The sequence below is a fragment of the Homo sapiens genome, chromosome 20 (genome assembly GCF_000001405.40).
Source record: "Homo sapiens chromosome 20, GRCh38.p14 Primary Assembly".
Taxonomy (NCBI): Eukaryota; Metazoa; Chordata; class Mammalia; order Primates; family Hominidae; genus Homo; species Homo sapiens.
In genome coordinates, this window is record NC_000020.11 from 23,859,955 (window position 1) to 23,882,080 (window position 22,126).

General features: G+C 45.2%; 1 protein-coding gene across 1 annotated transcript, besides 5 other annotated features; it reads right to left on the reverse strand.

Annotated features, from left to right (window-relative positions):
* Positions 869-1,677: an enhancer, noted in NCBI's record as "NANOG-H3K27ac hESC enhancer chr20:23841460-23842268 (GRCh37/hg19 assembly coordinates)". NCBI's record gives its function as "activates a minimal SCP1, AML or CMV promoter by ChIP-STARR-seq in naive and primed H9 embryonic stem cells {active_cell/tissue: H9 hESC(naive and primed)}" and the evidence as "EXISTENCE:reporter gene assay evidence [ECO:0000049][PMID:30033119]".
* Positions 6,832-7,359: an enhancer, noted in NCBI's record as "H3K27ac-H3K4me1 hESC enhancer chr20:23847423-23847950 (GRCh37/hg19 assembly coordinates)". NCBI's record gives its function as "activates a minimal SCP1, AML or CMV promoter by ChIP-STARR-seq in primed H9 embryonic stem cells {active_cell/tissue: H9 hESC(primed)}" and the evidence as "EXISTENCE:reporter gene assay evidence [ECO:0000049][PMID:30033119]".
* Positions 7,908-8,733: an enhancer, noted in NCBI's record as "OCT4-NANOG-H3K27ac hESC enhancer chr20:23848499-23849324 (GRCh37/hg19 assembly coordinates)". NCBI's record gives its function as "activates a minimal SCP1, AML or CMV promoter by ChIP-STARR-seq in naive H9 embryonic stem cells {active_cell/tissue: H9 hESC(naive)}" and the evidence as "EXISTENCE:reporter gene assay evidence [ECO:0000049][PMID:30033119]".
* Positions 8,734-9,559: an enhancer, noted in NCBI's record as "OCT4-NANOG-H3K27ac-H3K4me1 hESC enhancer chr20:23849325-23850150 (GRCh37/hg19 assembly coordinates)". NCBI's record gives its function as "activates a minimal SCP1, AML or CMV promoter by ChIP-STARR-seq in naive H9 embryonic stem cells {active_cell/tissue: H9 hESC(naive)}" and the evidence as "EXISTENCE:reporter gene assay evidence [ECO:0000049][PMID:30033119]".
* Positions 15,980-19,794, reverse strand: CST5 (cystatin D). The gene is made up of 3 exons (NM_001900.5): positions 19,492-19,794; positions 17,551-17,664; positions 15,980-16,317 (listed from the first exon to the last, which is right to left on the reverse strand). The coding sequence occupies exons 1-3, from the start codon at positions 19,720-19,722 to the stop codon at positions 16,234-16,236; spliced, it is 429 nt and encodes a 142-aa protein (NP_001891.2). The 5' UTR covers positions 19,723-19,794; the 3' UTR covers positions 15,980-16,233.
* Positions 19,287-20,116: an enhancer, noted in NCBI's record as "H3K4me1 hESC enhancer chr20:23859878-23860707 (GRCh37/hg19 assembly coordinates)". NCBI's record gives its function as "activates a minimal SCP1, AML or CMV promoter by ChIP-STARR-seq in primed H9 embryonic stem cells {active_cell/tissue: H9 hESC(primed)}" and the evidence as "EXISTENCE:reporter gene assay evidence [ECO:0000049][PMID:30033119]".

The window sequence follows — 22,126 nt, forward strand, 5'->3', positions numbered from 1 at the left end:
TATTGGACATATATGTGTGTGTGGGTGTGTGTGTGTATATATAGATATATATATATGGAGTAGTATTCACACACACACACACACACACACACACACCACCTTGTTTTATCCACCTGTCCATCTGTCCATTGATACCATGGCTTTGCTATTGTGAAAAGTGCTGCAAGAAACATACAAGTGCAGGTGTCATTTTTACATAATGATTTCTTTTTAGGGGGGTACCTATCCAGTAGTGGAATTGCTGGATCACAGGGCAGTTCTAGTGTTAGTTGTTTGAGAAATCATCATACCGTTTTCTATAGAGGTTGTACTAACGTACACTTCCACCAACAGTGCATAATTTTTTTCTTTTCCCCACATCTTCTCCAATGTCTATTGTTTTTTGACTTTCTTTTGAGACAGGGTCTCACACTCTTACCCAGGCTGAAAGGCAGTGACATGATCATACCTAACTATAACCTCAAATTCCTGGGCTCAAATGATCCACTTGCCTCAGCCTCCTGAGTAGCTAGGACTACAGGCCCATGGCAAGACATTTTTATTTTTTGTAGAGACAGGGTTTCACTATTTTGTCCAGGTTGGTCTTGAACTCCTGGCCCCAAGCAATCCTCCCATTTTGGCCTGTCAAAGTGCTGTGATTTGAAGGGGTGGGTTACCCCCCCCCCACACCTGTGGGTGTTTCTCGCAAGGTGGAACGAGAGACTTGGAAAAGAAAAAGACACAGAGACAAAGTATAGAGAAAGAAATAAGGGGACCCGGGGAACCAGCGTTCAGCATATGGAGGATCCCTCCAGCCTCTGAGTTCCCTTAGTATTTATTGATCATTCGTGGGTGTTTCTCCGAGAGGGGGATGTGTCAGGGTCTCAAGACTATAGTGGGGAGTGGGTCAGCAGACAAACATGTGAACAAAGGTCTTTGCATCATAGACAAGGTAAAGGATTAAGTGCTGTGCTTTTAGATATGCATACACATAAACATCTCAATGCTTTACAAAGCAGTATCGCTGCCGGCATGTCCCACCTCCAGCCCTAAGGCGGTTTTTCCCTATCTCAGTAGATGGAATGTACAATCGGGTTTTATACTGAGACATTCCATTGCCCAGGGACGGGCAGGAGACAGATGCCTTCCTCTTGTCTCAACTGCAAGAGGCATGCCTTCCTCTTATACTAATCCTCCTCAGCACAGACCCTTTACGGGTGTCGGGCTGGGGGACGGTCAGGTCTTTCCCTTCCCACGACGCCATATTTCAGACTATCATATGGGGAGAAACCTTGGACAATACCTGGCTTTCCTAGGCAGAGGTCCCTGTGGCCTTCCGCAGTTTTTGTGTCCCTGGGTACTTGAGATTAGGGAGTGGTGATGACTCTTAAGGAGCGTGCTGCCTTCAAGCATCTGTTTAACAAAGCATATCTTGCACCGCCCTTAATCCATTTAACCCTGAGTTTGACACAGCACATGTTTCAGAGAGCACGGGGTTGGGGGTAAGGTCACGGAATCTCAAGGCAGAAGAGTTTTTCTTAGTACATAACAAAATGGAGTCTCCCATGTCTACTTCTTTCTACACAGACACAGTGACAATCTGATCTCTCTTGCTTTTCCCCACAGTGATTATAGACATGAACCACTGCACTCTGCTGTCTTTTGACATTTAATAACACCCTTTCTCCCTGGTGTACAATGATATTTCATTGTGGTTTCAATTTGCATTTCTCAGATATTTAGTGATGTTGAGCATTTTTTTCATGTTTGTTTGCCACTTGTATGTCTTCTTTTGAAAAATATCTGTTCATGTCCTATGCCCACTTTTTAAAAAATTTTACTTTAAGTTCTGGAATATATGTGTAGGATGTGCAGGTTTGTTACATAGGTGTACATGTGCCATGGTGGTTTGCTGCACCTATCAACCTGTCATCTAGGTTTTAAGCCCCACATGCATTCAGTATTTGTCTTAATGCTCTCCCTCCCCTTGTCCCCCACCCTCTGGCAGGCCCCGATGTGTGATGTTCCCCTCCCTGTGTCCACGTGTTCTCATTGTTCAACTCCCACTTATGAGTGAGAACATGTGGTGTTTGTTTTTCTGTTCCTGTGTTAGTTTGCTGAGAATGATGGTTTCCAGCTTCATCTATGTCCCTGCAAAGGACATGAACACATTCTCTTTTATGGCTGCATAGTGTATGTGCCACATTTTCTTTATCCAGTCTATCACTGATGGGCATTTGGGTTCCAATTATTTGCTATTGTAAATAGTGTTGCAATAAACATATGTGTGCATGTGTCTTTATAGTAGAATAGTTTATAATCACTTGGATATATACCCAGTAATGGGATTGCTGGGTCAAATGGTATTTCTGGTTTTAGATCCTTGAGGAATCACCATACTGTCTTCCACAATGGTTGAATTAATGTACACTCCCACCAACAGTGTAAAAGCCTTCCTATTTCTCCACAGCCTCGCCAGCATCTGTTGTTTCCTGACTTATTAATGATTGCCATTCTAATTGGCATGAGATGGTATCTCATTGTGGTTTTGATTTGCATTTCTCTAATGACCAATGATGGTGAGCTTTTTTTCATGTGTTTATTGGTTGCATAAATGTCTTGACACATGTCTCTTCATATCCTTTGCCCACTTTTTGCTGGGGTTGTTTTTATATTGCAGTTCCTTGTAGTTCCTTGAAGATTCTGGATATTAACCCTTTGTCAGATGGATAGATTCCAAAAATTTTCTCCCTTTCTCTAGATTGCCTGTTCACTCCAATGATAGTTTCTTTTGGTGTGCAGAAGCTCTTTAGTTTAATTAGATCCCATTTGTCAATTTTGACTTTTGTTGCAATTGCTTTTGGTGTTTTAGTCATGAAGTTTTTGCCCATGCCTATGTCCTCAATGGTATTGCCTAGGTTTTCTTCTAGGGTTTTTATGGTTATAGGTTTTACATTTAAGTCTTTAATCCATTTTGAGTTAATTTTTGTATAAGATATAAGGAAGGGGCCCAGTTTCTGTTTTCTGCATAAGGCTTGCCAGTTTTCCCAGCACCATTTATTAACTAGAGAATCCTTTCCCATTGCTTGTTTTTGTCAGATTTGTCAAAGATCAGATGGTTGCAGATGTGTGATGTTACTTCTGAGGCCTCTGTTCTGTTCCATTGGTCTATATCTCTGTTTTGGTACCAGTACCATGCTGTTTTGGTTACTGTAGCCTTGTAGTATAGTTTGAAGTCAGGTAGCCTGATGTCTGCAGCTTTGTTCTTTTTGCTTAGTATTGGCTTGGCTATATGGGATCTTTTTTTGGTTTCATATGAAATTTAAAGTAGTTTTTTTTCTAATTCTGCAGAGAAAATCAATGATAGCTTGATGGGAATAGCATTGAATCAATAAATTACTTTGGGCAATATGGCCATTTTCATGATATTGATTCTTCCTATTCATGAGCATGAATTTTTTTCCATTTGTTTGTGTCCTGCCGTATTTCCTTGAGCAGCGGTTTGCAGTTCTTCTTGAAGAGGTCCTTTGCATCCCTTGTAAGTTGTATTCCTAGGTGCTATTCTATGTCCACTTTTTTTGAGATGGAGTCTCTCTCTGTTGCCCATGCTGGAGTGCAATGGCATGATCTTGGCTCACTGCAACCTCCGCCTCCTGGGTTCAAGTGATTCTCCTGCCTCAGCCTCCTGAGTAGCTGGGATTACAGGCACGGGATACGAGGCCCAGGTAATTTTTGTATTTTTTTTTAGTAGAGACGGAGTTTCACCATTTTGGTCAGGCTGGTCTCAAACTCTTGACCTCGTGATCCGCCCGTCTCAGCCTCCCAAAGTGTTGGAATTATGGGCATGAGCCACCACGCCTGGCACCATGCCCACTTTTTAATGGGATTATTTTTAATTGAGTTATTTGAGTTCCTAGTGGATTCTCAATATTAGTCTTTTATCAGATACACTGCAAATATTTTCTTTCATTCTGTAGGTTATCTGTTGACTCTGTTGATTATTTCTTTTGCTGTGCAGAAGCTTTTCAGTTTAATTAAGTCCCATTTGTCTAAGGTAGTTGATGTTGGGCTTCATTTTGAGGACTTAGTCATAAATTCTTTGCCTAGATCAATATCCAGAAGAGTTTCTCTTAGGTTTTCTTCTGTGATATTATTGTTTCAGTTCTTGCATTTAAGTCTTTAATCACCTTGAGTTAATTTTTGTATATGGTGAGAGACAAGGGTCCAGTTTCATGTGTCTGCATGTGGCTCTCCAATTGCCCCAGCACCATTTATTGAATAGGGTATCTTTCCCCAGTGTATGATTTCTTAACTTTGTCAAAGACAAGTTGATTGAGGTATCTTTCTTTATTTCTAGGTGTCTATTTTGTTCCATTAATCTATGTGTCGTTTTTTATATCAGGCCCCTGCTGTCTTGCTTACTATAGCCTTGTAGTATAATGTGATACCTCCAATTCTATTATTTTTGTTTAAGATTGGTTTGGTTTTAGGATTTTAGGATTGAATTTTAGGATTTTTTTTCTAATTCTATGAAGAATGATATTGATAATTTGATAGGAAGTGCACTGAATCTCTAGAAAGCTTTTGTCAGTATGGTCATTTTAACAATATTGATTATTCAAATCTATGAGCAAGGGATGTTTTTTCATTTGTTTGAGTCATCTATTTTTTTCATCAGTGTTTTGTAGTTCTCCTTGGAGAGATCTTTTACCTCCTTGATTAAATGATTTTGGTATTTTATTTTTTGTAGCTATTATGTATGGCCTCGAGTTCTTAATTTGGCTCTAAGCTTCATTATCATTGGTGTATAGAAGTACTGATTTATATACCTTGATTTTGAATCCTGAAACTTTAGTAAAGTCATTTATGAAATCTAGGAGTCTTTTGGAGTAGTCTTTAAGGGTTTCTAGGTATAAGACCATATTATTGGCAAACAGAGAAAGTTAGACTTTCTCTTTTACAATTTGGATGCTCTTCATTTCTTTTTTCTACGTGATTGCTGTTGCTAGGACTTCCGGTACTCTGTTAAATAGGAGTGGACAGTGGGCATCCTTGTCCTCTTCCAGTTCCTAGGTGAAACGCTTTCAAGTTTTACCCAATCAGTATGATGTTGGCTGTGGGTTTGTCACATATGGCCTTTATTATTTTTAGCTATGTACCTTGTATGCTTAGTTTGGTAAGAATTATCATGAAGAGATGCTGTATTTTGTCAAATACTTTTTATGTATCTATTGATATGATCATATGATTTTAATTTTAAAGTCTGTTTATGTGGTGAATCATATTTAGTGACTTACATATGTTAAAACAATCTTGCATCCCTTGAATCAAATCCACTTGATTGTAGTGTATTATCTTTTTGATGTGCTGCTGGACCAGTGTGCTATTATTTAGTTGAGGAATTTTGCATCTATGTTCATCAGGGATATTGGTCTGTAGTTTTCTATTTTTGTTGTGTCCTTGCCTGGCTCTGGTGTCACGGTGATGCTGGCTTTGTAGGGTGTTAGGGATGATTCCCTTCTTTTTGATTTTTTGGAAAGATTTCAGTAAAATCACTATCACTTCCTTGTTGTACGTCTCATAGAATTCGCCAGTGAACCTGTTTGGTTCTGGGCTTTATTTTCTTCAGAATTTTTTTTATTACTTATTCAATTTTACTACTCATTATTGGTCAGTTCAGGATTTCTATTTCTTTTTGGTTCAATCCTGGAAGGATGTATATTTCCAGGAATTTATCCATTTTTTCTCCATTTTCTTTTTTTTTTTTTTTTTCTTTTGGGACAAAGTCTCACTCTGTCACCCAGGCTGGAGTGTACTGGCACAATCTCAGCTCACTGCAACCTCCGTCTCCCAGGTCCAAATGATTCTCCTGACTCAGCCTCCCAAGTAGCTGGGATTACAGGCATGCACTACCATGCCTAGCTAATTTTTGTATTTTTAGTAGAGACGGGGTTTCTCCATGTTGGCCAGGCTGGTCTGGAACTCCTGACCTCAAATGATCTGCCCGCCTCAGCCTGCTAAAGTGCTGGGATTATAGGCGTGAGCCACTGCACCCAGCCCATTTCTTCTACATTTTCTTGTTTGTACACCTAAATTTTATTCTTTCTTCCGCACAACTCAGAGTCTTTTGCATTTTGCTTTCCTGTCTTTTAAAGGTATCTTTATGTGTATGTATAAAATATTTTATATATTATATAAACATACATAATACATAGTTATATATAATATATATTATATATTATACATAAATATGACCCAACTTCTTCTAACTTCACATCTGTATTTCCAGCTCTTTGGGAAGCTTAAATCAACTTCAAAACCTCCACAAATGAACTCACTATCTCACGTGCTAAGCTCACCAGCAGCCAGGCACCCAGGATGGAAGCTCTGTCAAGTAGTTCTCACACTCAGTTGGCAAATTCAGATTCCAAAAGTCTCTTGCGGCTCTCAGACCCCATGCCCTTTCCCAGCCACTGTGCTCAATAGCCCTGTGTTTCCACAGTTCCCACTTCTCTGTCCTGACACACCCTGAGTCTTGGCTCCCTTTAAAACTGTTGGTTTCAATTTTTAATAATCAGAAAAGGTATAACAAATGCTCTTGCATTCACACAAAAATCAATGGGGTTAGCATATACTTCAGTTTATAACAAACATTTCTAAAGTGATTGTACCATCTTACATTCTTGCCAAAGTACAATAGTTCCTCTTGCTCCACAGCCTTGCCTTTGAGGCTGTCAGTTATTTTTTCCCCCGTTATATCCAGAAATAACCATTGTTAACATTTTCTAATCTCTCTCTCTCTCTTTATATATCAGGATAATGCCACATAGATTATTCCTTATCTTTTTTCTTTCTAATATAGTATAATGTTCTTCTATATCAAGAGATACAGATGTGTTGGCCAACATCTCCTCAACGTTCCCCCTGCTCCATTCCCTGGTCTTCACCATTCTACTCATGGCTTCTATAAGTTTGGCATTTTAGATCCCACATATAAATGAGATGATGTAATGTTTGTCTTTCTCTGTCTGGCTTAACATAATGTCCTCCAGGTTTATCTATGTTGTCACAATTGACAGAATAACACATGACCTTCTCTGTTGCATCTCCCCCAGTGCTCTGAATGCTGTCTCTCGCACACCCCTTTCAATATTTTGCTCTCTGCTTAAGAGAGCCCTCTCTGCTATAGGGCAACCACCCTCAATCTCACTAGTGTGGCTCAAAGGCCCTGCTGGGCACAAGGCACTGCCCCCACCAGCCTGCACTTCCCACACAGAGACCCTCCACAAGGGAACCCTGCAGATCCCTGCCAGACTGTTCCCTCCCCGCCTCCTTTCTAGCCCTCGTTCTGAAATGCTTGCTTTGAGCCGCTTCCTCATTCTCAGTCCTAGTCCACAGTCTCAGCACAGGTGCCTTCACTCACAGGAAGCCCCCCTCCTTCGGACCTCCATCCGCCTAGGCTGGGGCGGGCTCTTACTTGGTGGTGCCTGGCATGATAGCTGCCCATCCCTGGGGTTGTTGCTGTCTGCAGCCTCCCCAGCACCCAGCACCATGTGAGCACCCAGCACGTGGTGCTTCTCGAAGTAGGCTATGAACTGACGGCCACAACAGAGAATAAGCAACAGATTTGTGTACAGTGTTTATTTTGCATCATCATCACATTCTTTTAATTCTATAATATATTTTAATATAAGGCATCATGAGTAATTTTCCAAATATTTTTAGTTATTTCAGTTTATTTTTCCACAAGACTTTTAGTATCTTCAAAATTATTGTCATGTATTTTGAATGGAACACAATTAACTATAGATTCATTTGAAAAAAATTACCATCTTTACCTTATTTGTTCTTCCCATACAAAAAAATAAGCTCTAGTCATATTTTATCTCTCTTCTCAGTAAATTTTTCTTACTTTTCACTAAGAACTTGCTCATATCTTTAAAAATATTTTATTATGATAAAATACAGATAACATGAAAATTGTCATTTGCACTGTATTTAAGTATAGAGTTTTGCATCATTAAATACATCACATTGGTGTGCGGACATCCCCATTCTTCAATGAAAGAATTTTTTATCCTCTCAGATGAAACTTTGTACCCATTAAACATCAACTACCCATTTCCCCTATCCCTTAAGCCTTCCTTACCACCATTCTATTCTAAGTCTCTGTGAATGTGGCCAGTGTAAGTAGCTCATATAAGTTGGATTACATGGTATTTGTCCTTTTCTTGTCTGATTTATGTTCCTTTGCATTATTTCCTCAAGGTTCATTCATATCGTGGCATGCGTCATAATTTCCTTTCTTTTTAAGATGGAAGAATATTTCCTTGTATGGGTATATAATAGTTTCTTTATCCATTTATTTATCAATGGATATCTGAGTTGCTTCTACCTTTCGGCTATAGCGAATAACATTGTTATGAATATTATGAACAGTATTTTGCAAAGTACTGTGATACCTTACCTTGTTTTAATATGAATAGACTCTCCCTTAGCTGAGAAAGCCGGATGGACTCCATTTGGCTCCTTCATTTGCAAGACATCAAGGGCTCCTTACCCACCCCCTTCCTCAAGGACTTAAGTTGTGCAAGCTGACTCCCAGCACATCAAAGAGTGCAATTAACTGAGAAGGTACTGTGGCAAGCTATGTCCACAGTTCCCAAGAATTCACCCAGGTGATAGTACCCCCACGTTTGTGTCGCATAGATAGCACCCAAAAGCCCTCACATCTATCACCTTGTGATGAATTTAAAGCCCCTGCACCTGGAACTGTTTGTTTTCCAGTAACCATTTGTCTTTTTAACTTTTTTGCCTGTTTTACTTCTGTAAGATTGCTACAGCTAGGCTCCCCCTCCCCTCTCTAAACCAAAGTATAAAAGAAAATCTAGCCCCTTTTTCGGGGCCGAGAAAATTTTGAGTGCTAGCCGTCTCTCGGTCGCTGGCTAATAAAGGACTCCTGAATTAGTCTCAAAGTGTGGCATTTCTCTATAACTCGCTTGGTTACAACAGTACCTTTTTCTTTAAAAATATTTCTGTCCATTTTCTTGCCTCTAGAGGTGAGATTTTGTTCTTCACACATTCCAATTAGTTTTTGCTAGCTTCTAGGAAAACTACTGATGCTTGAATTTTTGCCAGGGATTCAGCCATGTTGCCAAATACCGATACTGATTTTCATAACATTTAAGTTGATTCTTCTGAGCTTTCTAGACACATGAAGAAATCTTCTACAAATAAGAGTAATCTCATCTTTTCATTTCCCATACTTTTAGCTAACTCAGTAATATACCTCTTTGCATTTGCAGGAGGTAATGTCTTATGTGTCTTTTTATTCCCAGGACTCAGCATCACACAAGGCACCTAAGAGTTGGTTAAGAGGCACTGGCCGAGTAACAATTTGTGCTTCACATGGGGGCATGTGAAATGCTGTCAGGTGTCACCCATCTTTCCTCCTTTGCTGTATGCATGTCTTACTAACCAATAATTACATAACATAATGCAGGGCTCAGTGTCACTTTTCAAATATACTCTTTCATTTATTTCTTAAGTTACAATGTGCAGTAATGGTAATAATTTTTCCCATTGTACAGATAAATTAACTGAGTCTCCTAGAGATTACATCCCTTGCTCTCTCAGTGGGGCTCCCCCCGCAGTTTCTCCTTTACCAGTGAGACTTCATTCTCTCAGCTGCTGGGAGTGTGGCCACTGAGGGCTCACAGCTGAGTCCCTCTGTGGGCATTGATCTGAGTCAAAAGAAGCTGCTTTGTCCAAATTCATGCCCTTCCTGGAATTTCCTATTTCAGATAAATGGCTTCTATGGGGATACAAAGGCCTGATTCTTTTGCCCCAATAGGCCACCACTCTGAGGCCATCCCCGTTGCAGAGCTCTCCATGGGCCTTGCTGTGGCCTCTGCTGAGCTGCACCCCAGCCTGACTTCTCCCTTTGCCCTGACCCACATCCCTGCCTCCCCAGCACATGCCTCAGTGAGCCTCTTGCCTGTGAATCTCCATCTGAGTCTATTTCCAGGAACCCTAACCAAGAGATGGTGGAGTCAGGGCCCACACCACAAATATCCTGCCTTTTAAACTACAGTGGGTGTTAGGTCTGTGAAAGTATGGAACATTTTTGTTTAGGAGATTGGATATCTCCCTTCAACAGATGATCCAAATGTTCTCACACCCATGAGACCCGCTGAAGAAAACCAATGCTTCATCTGTAAAGTTACTTGTTACCAAAAATCTCTTACTCAGCTGGGTTTTTTTTTTTTTTTGCCTCTTTATCCCTAGTGAAATGAAATCCAAAGTGTCCATCTGTATTGGACTTGGTGAAATATTTTCACATATAATTTTCTTTGATCCACCTGATGAGGAAGGTTGGGCAGGTACCAGAAACCCCTTATACTCGTAAGTAAATTAGTAGGAGGTAGGTTGAGGATAAGGTGTCAGGTCATGTAATTTTCAGCTTAATTATGTTCTTGTCACACAGTAAGCTTCATTTGCCTCCCTGGCTCTGGGACTGACACTAAGTAATGTGTCAGCTCCATTGCTCCTAGGAGAGTCCTGGCTGCAGATAGCTGGAGTCCTGAGAAACACTGGCTGCCTCTCCCATGATGACACTGGTTATTTACCAAAGGCCGTGGGTGGTGTTCACAGAGTCGGTGCAGCGTCGTCAGCAGGGGCCCAGGTGTTTTCCTTCCATCTTCTCCATTGTTCCTTGGGCTTTTGTTCTTGGGCACATGGCTCATGAGTGAAAGGTGGACACCATAGCCCTAGACATCCTGTCTCACACCACAGCCTGAAAGGTGAGGAGTAAGAAGGAGCAGCAGGAGGCCACAGGGCATGAGAAGAGTGTTGGGGGTGGGGGGAGAGAGTGAGAGAGAGAGAAAACTCCCCTCAGGGAGCCTTTCTCTGTTTATCCAGCAGATACTCTTTTAGTAGTAACCTGGCCAAGTGCTTGTCAGTTGTTGGCTGGACCTGAGATCTATTTCCCCAGAGGTGAGGAAGGCTTGAAAGTCCATTGCCTCAGGAACAGGCAAGAGGAAGGGAATTGACAATGGCTGTTCAGGTTTCCAGAACAAGGTCCCTTAATATGAGAGTTCATTGAGAGCTTATAGAAACTCCACTGTACTCTGAAGTTTATGAATGTGTTTATGCAGAAGTATGCAAACACACACACCATTTCTACAATTTTCATCAGATTCCTAATGCAATCACTGACTGCGCACCATTTCAATGTGTAAGTATGGGTGCTGAGATGTGAATGGAATTTTCTGAGCTTGTGCTGAAATTAAATGCAGACCAACCTCTCAAAACTTGGATGTTTCTTACTTTCAACATAACTAAGCAGCAGACTACCTCCTCCTTACATTCAGTGGAAGTAGAATACAGGAGACTGAAATAGATCAAGCACTCTAAAGCCAAGCTGGAGTCCACCTGCTAATTGCAATCATCGTGTCCACAGGAATGATGAGCTCTTTGCTAGTAAACGCTCCTTAGGGAATGTGAGCAAAGATACCCTCTTTTCCCCAGGAGCTCACAGTGTAGCTGAGAGAGGATCTATTCAGAAATACTCAGTGTCATGAAAAACAAGGAAAAAATGTATTGAATTCTAAATGACTGTTGCAACTCAGGGGGCAGGGGAAACCCCTGATGCTGAATATCAACTCCTGATTCACTCATAATTAATGTGCTATTAAGCATATGCAGGCATATCAACCACACCAATAGACATTCAGCCATAGCATTTGTTAGTTTTTAAAATGCAGACATAGGGAGGGTACAATGAAAAACAACCCATATCATCACCCAAACACCCATGGATGACATTTAAAATAATTAGAATAATTAGAACAACGTGACATTGTAATAACATTCAAATGAAACAGAAAAATGCAAAATTCTTCTCTTCTTTCTTTTTCTTCTCCCTTCTCATCCTCTCTCCCTTTCTCTCTCTTTCCCTCAGATGTGTTTCTGTGTATACATATGTGTATATGTCTGTGTATATGTCTATATACACACATACACACATGTGTTTATTTTTGTTTTTGGAAAGAGCTTTGTATTAACATACCATATAGATCTTGTTTTCTATAAAATAATATATTCAAAGTGTATTAAAATTTTTTTTCATTTTAACACATATATTGCTAATTCTTCTTAACGATGGTTTCATCATGTGCATGCATAATTTATTTATTCCCTCTGCAGTCATGTCATCATTTTGATCATGCTGAAGTTTGTGCTATTACCAGGATGCTGCCATCCTATCCACAGGTTTCACTGAGTGCTGGTGACACAATGGATGATGTGAATTCCTAACAGGGATTGGTGTAGGGGGTGGGCATATGACCCAGCCCTAGCCAATGAGACTGCAGGGGTGGTGAGCTAGGGGGTGCATAGGAGGAGCCTCCTCACATTCAGGAAGGAGGTGTGGAACAGAGGCTCTTCCCAGGGCTCTTTCTGCCTCTGGATGTTGGTGTTGATGATGTGATGTCTGGAGCTGTTGCAACCACCTTGCTACCAGCTTGAGGCTGAAGCTTCAAGAACAGGAAGGTAAGGCTGAGAGAATCCCAAGGAAGCAGAGCATATGCTGGGAGTTCTGTTCCTGAAGCCTGCCTCACCCAGGGGCTTCTTATCATGAGAGTAGAACATTCCCTTTGCATTCAAGACATTTTTAATTAGGGACTTAGTTTACATGTGGCTGAAAGCTTCTCAGCAGGTCCCAAGGCCTCTGCAGTTTCTTCTGCATGGTTTCTCCTTCCCTCACCTCTTCTTCAAGTCTCCTTCTACTTTTGTGGCTGGTGGATTTGTCTCCTCCCTCACGTCCTCCTTTGCCCATGCACTATGCAAGAATACTGGAGTCTGCCCATGTGTGTGTGAGTGGCACAGACAGGAGGGGCGGGCCTGACGTCCCTCCCCGATTATTCTGTTGGCTCCCAGCTGCAGGCAACACAGATGTAAAACTGTGACCAACAGGTGAGATGACTTGAAGAGATACTTTTTCCAGGACAAACTCCTGCACATTCAATGAGCTAATCAATATAGCACATCATGATACATTTGCACAATTTTGAAGCTCACTACACAACAGTGACAGTTTAAAAATGCTGTGTTAGTGAGCATTGTTAATACAAAGAGTCTTTAAGATCATCAATCTTATGTCTAGAAAATTTAGAAAGCACTAAAATCTTAGAGTTCACAAATGAGAGGAAACTGCAAGAGGCTTTTACGAATTTGTCAACAATCAGGAAAGGTTGCAGGATATTACCAATATGAGTTTTGAAGCAGAAAAAGGATGTTATGTACCATTAAGTTCACAGATCATCAAACAGTTAGTGGAAAGACTGGTTTATCTTTCTGCTATATTTATAAAAGTTCTGGTACAAATTCAATGTCTTATGATGAGGCAAATAGTGATTCATTAGCTGAATATGGAAACATAGGCAGAAAATATTACAGAGTTGTGTCAACTAGTTAATTAAACAAAAACATTATATGAGACAGTAAAGATCATGTGGATTAAGGGAGGGCAAATCTGCCCTTTCATCTGCAGGGTGGATAGATGGACTGATGTGGTCAAAGCCAGTGGCATCATGAACGGGAAACAATGTTTCTCTCAAGCTGCAGCTTTGAAATGTCAAGCAGCTTCTTCCTTGGCTGACAACTGCTTTCTGACTCAATGGAAGACCTTGTTCTCTAGCGTCAGGGCTGTCAGAAACTTTGCTTATGAGTAAGAAGAACATCCCACTGCCTGGAGGATCTAGGTCCACCTTTACACAGAAGCACAGAGCTACAGAGAAGGGGTTTCTGGACAGAACGTTCCACATTTGCCTGAACCTTATGGGTTCTGAGGAGATAGGAGGAGCTGAGGAGATAGGAGGAGCTGAGTACAATTTGCAGCCCAGACCTGACCCTGGCTCCTTTACACAGAAGCCTGCCATGCTCTGAGTGCATCAATACACCTTCAAAATCCCTTCCTCCAATCCTGTGATAACCTTTTTTCCTTTGTTTGTTGAATCATGTGAGGATCCTTGTGTGACTTTATTCCCTTATTGCAACAACCCAATACTGAGTGTGTTGGCTACAGTACTGACTTGGTGGCTGATTATTTTCTGGATTTTGTGGGTGTCTGTTATTTTCTGGAGTTTGTGGCTGTTTGCAGTATATCTCAGTGTTTTAAAAAGTGAGTATTTTGCCATAATTTATTTTCTTTTCCCAAATAAACATTAACTTTTGTGCTTTCTTTTGTATTGCTAATATTGCTCTATTTTTCATACATAAAGCCCCCATATTGTATGAGCCTCAGGCCCTGCAGCACCTGGTCTGCCTGTGATCATGAAGAGAGTCCACCTGCCCAAGGAAAGACTGTGCCGTCTCATGCTTCCCAGGCCTCCGATGCACTCATCCCTCCTTCCAGAGTGATTTCTCTATGCTGGGTGAGGGGTTTCCAACCTCTGCAGTTTCCATCTTTTACCTCTGATCTGGTGCATGATTTTTTCTAAAGGAACTCTTAGAAGACACTTAACATGACCTGATCAGGAACCTTCTTTAGCTTCTTCCAAGGACACAGCTCAGTGCCCAGAAGATGGACCTGTTCACTCTCAGCTTCCCCGCATCCTGCTCTGTTCCAAGGGAGCAGACACACAGGGAAAAGTCGGGGGAGTCCTGTGCAGAACCCCGACGTCACACCATCTTCCCCAAGGAAGATAGAATTGTGTCAGAAAGGGACTGTTTTTCAAAAAATCAGCTGTTCATTGTGTGCCTGGATGGTGGTCCCTTTGGTCAATAAACCCTTCATCCACATGGAAAATTATGAGCACTTCCGTGCAAGAAAGACTTTGCCCCCAACCACAACATCTGTGCACCTGCTGCTCTGCCCTCAGCCGCTCTCTCCCAGTAGAAGCCTGAATCACTAAGTGCACCCTCCACTGAGAGGATGAGGCCCAGATTTGACTCCCCCGCTCATGGCTGCCTGGGCGCTGCTACACTTCCCACATCACAGACTCAGTTAAATCCCATGGGGGTGGAGAGGAAATGGAAGCAGATGCTGCTCACTCTCCCTGCCAGACCATTCTCCTCCTGGCTTCCTAGGTGCAGCACGGTGGGTGCTGGCCTCAGGGCTGTTTCAGCAGCTTCCTCTTTGTCATTTCCCTCTCAGTGTTCATGGCAGCCACCCTTGGTCAATGCAGCTCTGAGTGAGGAAGACATTTCAGAGCCTTGGGCCAGAGGCACCTGTCCTGAGGGCTGCACCCCCTTCTCTTTGAACTAAAATAGCAAAGAGAAGGACCGTGTGGGCTTGGGGCCATGTGACTTAGGAGTGTAGCCTCCTGCTTGAGGCACAAATATCTACTATTCTATGAATCATGATGACACTAAGTTTTTTTTATTAATTGGAACATCATCCTTGGAAAAAAACAGTCCACTTCATGCCAGTCCCATTTGTGTTTTAACTTCTCTAACCCTAATATAAAGTTTGACATGAGGACTTTTTAAAACTTCAAGTCCAGAGAATGGGCCGGTGGGTGTGAATTGACAAAACCTCCCACCCTGGGGCACACCTTCCCAGGATAGATGACAGCAGGCACTGTTTTCTCTGTGAGATCTTGCCCATCTTTGGTCTGGCTGGCATTTCTCCCAATCAGTTACACATACACATACACACTTTTGGACTTGTTTCCATGTAAGGGCCTAAAGTCTCTTGTGGAAAGAAGCAGACATCGATCGCTATTTATTTAGTGTCTAGGGGATTTGATGAGAGCAGCTCAGTCCCTGGAGTCTGCTCAACTCTGCAAGCACAGATGGAATCCACGGCCTGGCGAGCTCCACTGAGGCCTGGCCCCTGCCTGTGGACACAGCCAGCCCCCTCCTCCTGGTCTGACCAGGAGCTCAGACCAAACCAGCAGCCCAACTTCTGGGGCCAGCAGAACAAGGAGGCTTCATAAAGGAACTGCAGAAACCCTGCCTGTGTGTACATCCCCAAACAGCCAAGAACTCAGAGGGAGGCAATGCTACTGTTTAATTGCAGGAGGTGGGAGAGTGTGCACTGCACACTGGGGCTATGAGAAGCAAGAAGGAAGGAGCAAGGGCAGAGCCTCCTGCTGAGCAACAAAGGCCTCCTGCCACCTTCTGTGTCTGTCTCCTGGTGCAGGCGCATGAGGAGACCTCCCCCAGGGTGGGGGCCACCAGTCCAGGGGTGGGAGCACTACAGGGGGTGGGAGTAGGAGGTGGTCAGTGTGACAGGCCTTGCACAGACCCCTAGACTTTCCGGCACTTGTAGTTCAGAATGGAAATTTTATCCTCCCAGGGAACTTCATTGATCTGGAAAGAGCAGAACTCTTCCTGTGAAAAGAAAGAGATGGAGAAAATGACTGTGGGTTACAGTTAAAGCCAAAGATGCCCAGGAATGGGACATCAGAATGGGGGTGAAAATGGTTGGAGATGAGACACTGCCCCCTGACCCCAACCTACCCCTGCCGAGTTCCAGGGCACTGAGCCCAACTGGGCAGTGACTGTTCCATTGCCCCTCCCAAGGCTCCAAGTCACCAGGTGACATTGGGCCTTCACCCCAGCCTGCAGGATTCCTGTCCCAGCGCAGCCCTATGAGGAGCAGCCTGTGCAAGGCCTTGGGAGCCTCAGGGGTGCAGGACAGGGGAGGCAGCTCACTGCCTCCAGCTCCTTCCACCTCCAGCACCCAGGCCAGCACTAAGAGGGGCCAGAGGGAAGAACCCAGGGAACTGGAAATTGCAACTCAAAGTGCCCGAGGTGGTGAGGAGATGACAAGGAGAGTGTGGCTCTGCCTTGAGCAGAGACCTCGAAAGAAATCCTGGGTTCTTGGAGAGGCTGATGTTGGGTGAGCTGGGGCAGGTCCAGGGCTTCTCAGCTAACAGGCATTTAATTCCTTCTAATGTGCTCAGAGTGGCTGTGGCTGCAGGCAGGTGCCTGAGGCTGGGGTTAGACAGAGCCCCTTCTTTCTGACCAGAACCCAGCCCAGCAGCTTCTTCCTCCAGTCCAACAGACAACACCCCAAAGCAGGCAGAGTTGACCTCCCAGTAACCATTACCAAGCTAAAGTCTTCCTAGCAAAACAAATTCATCACCCCTATCCACACCACTCCATCTGCACACACATAGGCATCTATATTAACTCACAGCAACCCTCACCCAAACGAATATATGCATGAACCCACATACTCCTTCACACATCCACACACATGCACACACACACTCCTGTGCATCTTCCTCATGTATGCACACATATGCATCTTTCTACATGCATAGCCACATGTGTACACCATCCCACACATTCATTCATGCATACACAAAACTCCATATGCACAAACACATTCATTGACTTCACAATACACATCTGCACATGTGTGCCAAACACACATGCATCCTCCCATGCACATGAATACATCCTTGCATACGTGGCCCCACAAATATCTGCACACATGCACACATGCCCTCCAAAGCATGTGCAGGAGTACAGATGCGTGCACACACACATACACACACACACATGCACACACTGCTCTGCGGTACTTGATGCCCCTGACCCACATCAGGCACATACCTCTTTCAGTTTTGGCTGGTCATTGAAGGGACAGTTGTCCAAGTTGGGCTGGGACTTGGTGCATGTGGTTCGACCGAACTTCACATTGAAGTAGTAGTTCACCCCACCCACGATCTACACGCGTGGAAGAGCAGGAAGCAGGGGCAGCATGCTGTCAGTTTCATGCACACGCAGGCACTTCACTGTGACTGAGTCACTGGGCTTGCCTGGGGCTTCATGCCCACACTGTCACCCAAAAGGCACACAAGCCACCTTCTCCTGCTGGCTGGCAGTGGTAGTGTGTCCCAGTCCTTCCTAGTAACTTGTTTTCTCTGGGTATCTCAAGCAAGCTGTCTCATGCAGCCCAGTAGAAAGAGAAGCAGGGGCAGGGCAGATGGAAGCCAGGGCCTAAAACCCCCTTCACTGGATTCAGGAACAGAAGGCACAGCTCTGGGGAACCAGCCAGGGTGGGACAAAGAAACAGTCCTGGCACCAGGCTTGCAGGGCAGGGTCTAAGCACCAAGTGAATGCTCTTTCCCACAGCAAAGGATTAACTGAATTCTGCTACCTGTGCTCAGGGGGCAGGGACACTGGTCCCATCCTAGGAAGGCTGCCACCTGATGATGAAATTTCAGCTAACTTCCAGCTCCTGGCATTCAGTCCACAGAGCATCTCATTCCTGCCATTTAACCCAGAGGTATTTTTCCTCATTTCTCAGTAGGAGATGAGATGCTCACATACATTGATGTTTTAGGCCAATAAACATTGCCTCCTGCATGCCTCCATTCCAGGTGTGATTTTCAAGGCAATATTTCTAAAGTGAGTCACACACCTGCATGTCTTAGGGTTGCAACTTCAGAAGAGAACTGAATGCTTTCCCTGCACAGTGCCGCCCCAAAACATGACTTGTCAGAACTGTGGAGAAGCATGGGATGAGGGACCCTGGGACCAGGGTGCTAGACCTTGCCCTGTGGAACCACACACAAGTCCTGTAGAACCACATGGAAGTCCTGTGATCCCTCCGGTGTCAGTCTGCTGCTCTGTAAAATAGGCTCCAGGGCCCAACGATCTACATCATTCTGTGCTTCACTCCCAGTGAGTGACACACTTAAGAGGGAGTGCAGGCCAGCAGGGACCACAGCACCAGGGAATGCCCCTCCTGTGCAGGGAGAGGGCTGCAGGAGGAGAAACAGGGCTGGTCTGGACTCCTCTGACTTTCCAAGAGAAGGTGGAGGAGCTCTAAAGGCTGGCAGGCCATATAGCCCTGTGGTCGCTGTGTCACTGCTGCTCTGCCATGGGACGTAGGTCAAGCTGGGCTCGGTAGCCCTGCTGAAGCTTCCTCCCTCTGGACCCAACCACCTCCTTCACTCTGCTGGGTGATTGCTGTCCTCATTTTGCTGAGGTCTAACTCTGCGTTAGCTGGCAGAGGCAGGGTCAGGCATGCTCTACCCCAGCAGGAACTCAGCTGTCCTGGGCTGTAGGGGGTGGTCAGCCAGCCTGAGAGTGAAGGCCACTAGCCATAACGGGCTGTGCCCAGGGGCGTGACTTGGGAGGGAAGCGGGGCTATCCAGGACAAGGAGTCAGGTTCCCGTGTGGCCCCTGTGGAGAGGACTCAGGGAGGAAGATGAACCTCGTGGCCTGGATCTCATCCTGAGCAGCATCAAGCCCACCCAGAGTCAGCACAGTCTCCATCCACACCTGCTGGACCCTGGGAAATGCCACAGTCATGGTACAGACACAGTGGCTGCTGCAGGTTAAAAGAGGCCGAGGGGACAGGACAGGGCTGAACTCATGCACTCACGGCCAAGGAGTGTCCTAGGGCATGAAGACCATCAGCAGACAGTCAGAGAAAGCTGAATGAGTCTGCGGTTTAGATAATGTTGATTTGCTGGGAGTGCTCTGGGGGGTGAGGCAAAAAACCCAGCTGGGACTCAGGACCCCCAGGGTGGTGGTAGCACGCACCTGCTGGTAGGCAGCCATCACCTGCAGAGGGCGGCTGTAGTACTCATCCTTATTAATGACCTTGTTGTACTCGCTGATGGCAAAGTCCAGGGCACACTGCACACTCTTGTCATTGAGGTCTGTGGCATGGATGCCACCTGCCAAGGTCCTAGATTGGGCCGAGGCACTCCCGGCCACGGCCACCATCAAGGCAGTCAGCAGCAGCAGTGGGGTGTGCATGGGCCACATCATGTTCTACTGGGACACAGAGCAAGGAGCTGGATCTCCCAGAGAGCAAAGCAGCAGAAGGCTGAGGCAGGAAGCCCAGGCCAGAAGCTAGCTGTGCATTTATCCTACTTGGGTGTCCCCCAACCCCACCTGCTCCCTGGCCCCGCCCCTGGCTCCTCCTCCTCTTTCTACCCCTCCTCTTCTGTCTCTATCTCCCTTTCCACCCCCAACCACCTCCCTCCCTCCCTAAGTTCCCTTCGCTCCTCCCATGCCTCCTCCTCATCCTCCTCCCCACTCCTGTCCTGACCGCAACCTCCCCACAGCCCTGCCCCTCTTCCTCAGTGCTCTAAAGCTTGGCTCACTCTGGATTCCAGAGAGGTGACACCGCTCCCTGGGCTGTGAAACCTGGTGACCACCTATGTCCACAGGAAAGGGAGAAATACAGGGCTTGGCCTTCTAAAGTCTTCAGATGTCAGGGGCATCCAGGAGCACGTGGTCATGGTCTGGGAATTCCTGGGGCAGGGAGCTGTTTCAGAAGCTCCGGGATGACCTTGTCCATGCCCTCTTCTGGGGAACTTCTTTGCCAAACATAAAGTAATTAACCTTTGGGTAAAGTTCACTGGGTTCTCGTTTCATAACTCCTCATTATTCAATAAACAAACCTGTCACCAGCTTCCCCCTGCACCAAGCAGTCTGGGCAATAGAGCCGTAGACATGAACTTGCAGAGCTGCCATCCAACAGAGATGTGACAGAAACCCAGGAGCAATTTAAAACACATTTGAAAAAGTTAAAAGATACAGCTGAAAGTAATTTTGGTATTTCTACTTTAACCTAATATATCCAAAATACTTCAACACTTCAGGACTATTCTTAAGGAGCTAGTTTACATTCTTTTGTGTGAGTGTAATGTCTTGAAGTTCCCTGTGTATTTTTTACAGTTAGACCAAGCGTCACTGTGGACTAGCCCCATTTCAAGTGCCCTGTGGCCACGAGTGGCTGCTGGTGGCTGTGGTACTGCATAGCCCAGCCATTAGGGTGTGTGGGAGGATGCAGAGTGGTGATCAACAATTTAGATCAGGGAATTATAGTCGCTCAGTTAGAGAGAGGGTGGGTGCTACTGGACCCTGGTCAGGGAAGTCTCTAAGAGACCGGAAAGGTTGAGAAGCCCCAGGCAGCAGGGAATAGTCAGTGCAAAGGCCCTGAGGCAAGGCTGGGCATGCCTGCTCCAGGAAGAGGAAGCTCCTGGAGGGGGTGTGAGCAGGGAAGGGAACGACCTGGAGTCTCACGGTAACTGTGGGTGTGTCCAGGTGGAAGGCGCAGGGAGACCCCTGGCAGGTGGTGGGGGTGTCAGGAGAAGGAGCAGCAGCCACAGGATGAATGTGGGAGCCCAAGAGCCTCTCTTGCTCCTCCCCTCTGGGAGACGTGCTGCCAGCACTGGTCCTCTGTACACTGCTTGGAAAACTCATGTAATATTTTAAAAATTACATTGAATGAGGTAGAATTTACACACAATAAAATGCCTAATTGTATGTGCCCAATCTGGGGGATTTCATAAATGCATACACTTGTGTTACCACTTTGTCCACACCTGTGATATCTGCCTCACCCCAGATGGTTTCCTCCTGCCTCTGAAGCCCACCCTCATGCCCACCCGACCCTGGCAGCCCACATCTGGTCCTGTGGACTCCTTTGTTGCCTGTCCTTGAGCTTCCCAGGAATGGAATCCTGCAGAGAGAGCCCAGGTGTGTCTTCGTCCTTTGCTCAGCGTGGCTTCATTGCCAGGATTGAGAGTTCTCCTTCTCCACAGACTGAGAGGATGTGGTCAGTTGGGTGCCCTGTGGGCTGACAAAGCCCCCAGCTCGGGATGCTGTGGGCCTGGACTGGAATGTGACTTCAGGAGTAGGGAGGGTGGAAGGAGGCTCTGAACAGACAGCTGCTCCCTTTGTTCTCTCAACCCCCCCTCCATGCCTGAAGGTGATCCTGCGGCAAATGCCCTTATGGCGAGGTGGCAGGCTTGGCCAGAAACACCAGGAAACCCTGGGCCTTAGCAGGACACCCAGAGGACTCTCCTGGGAGTGGTGGAGGTGAGGGTCGGCCAGGATCAGCCCAGACCTGCTATAATCCTGGGGCTCCGCCATGGCTGGGGCTGCATCAGCAGGAACCCGACAGCGGGAACAATATTACTCATGGGTGCTCATGTTCAGTATGAGGACAGGGGACCTTTTTACCCAAGGCCCAGTGACCATTGCACCCCACTGTGAATCCAGCACCCCTAGAAAAGCCATGCACTCCAGCAGATACAGCAGGTGGCCCAGGGATAGTGTTTACTGCTGGGTGAGGGAGGGAAGGTCTTCAAGCAGGGCTGCACGTGATGCCTCCTAGTTAGACAGGAAATTGGGGGAGATTCCCAGAGAAGGGAAAGAGAGG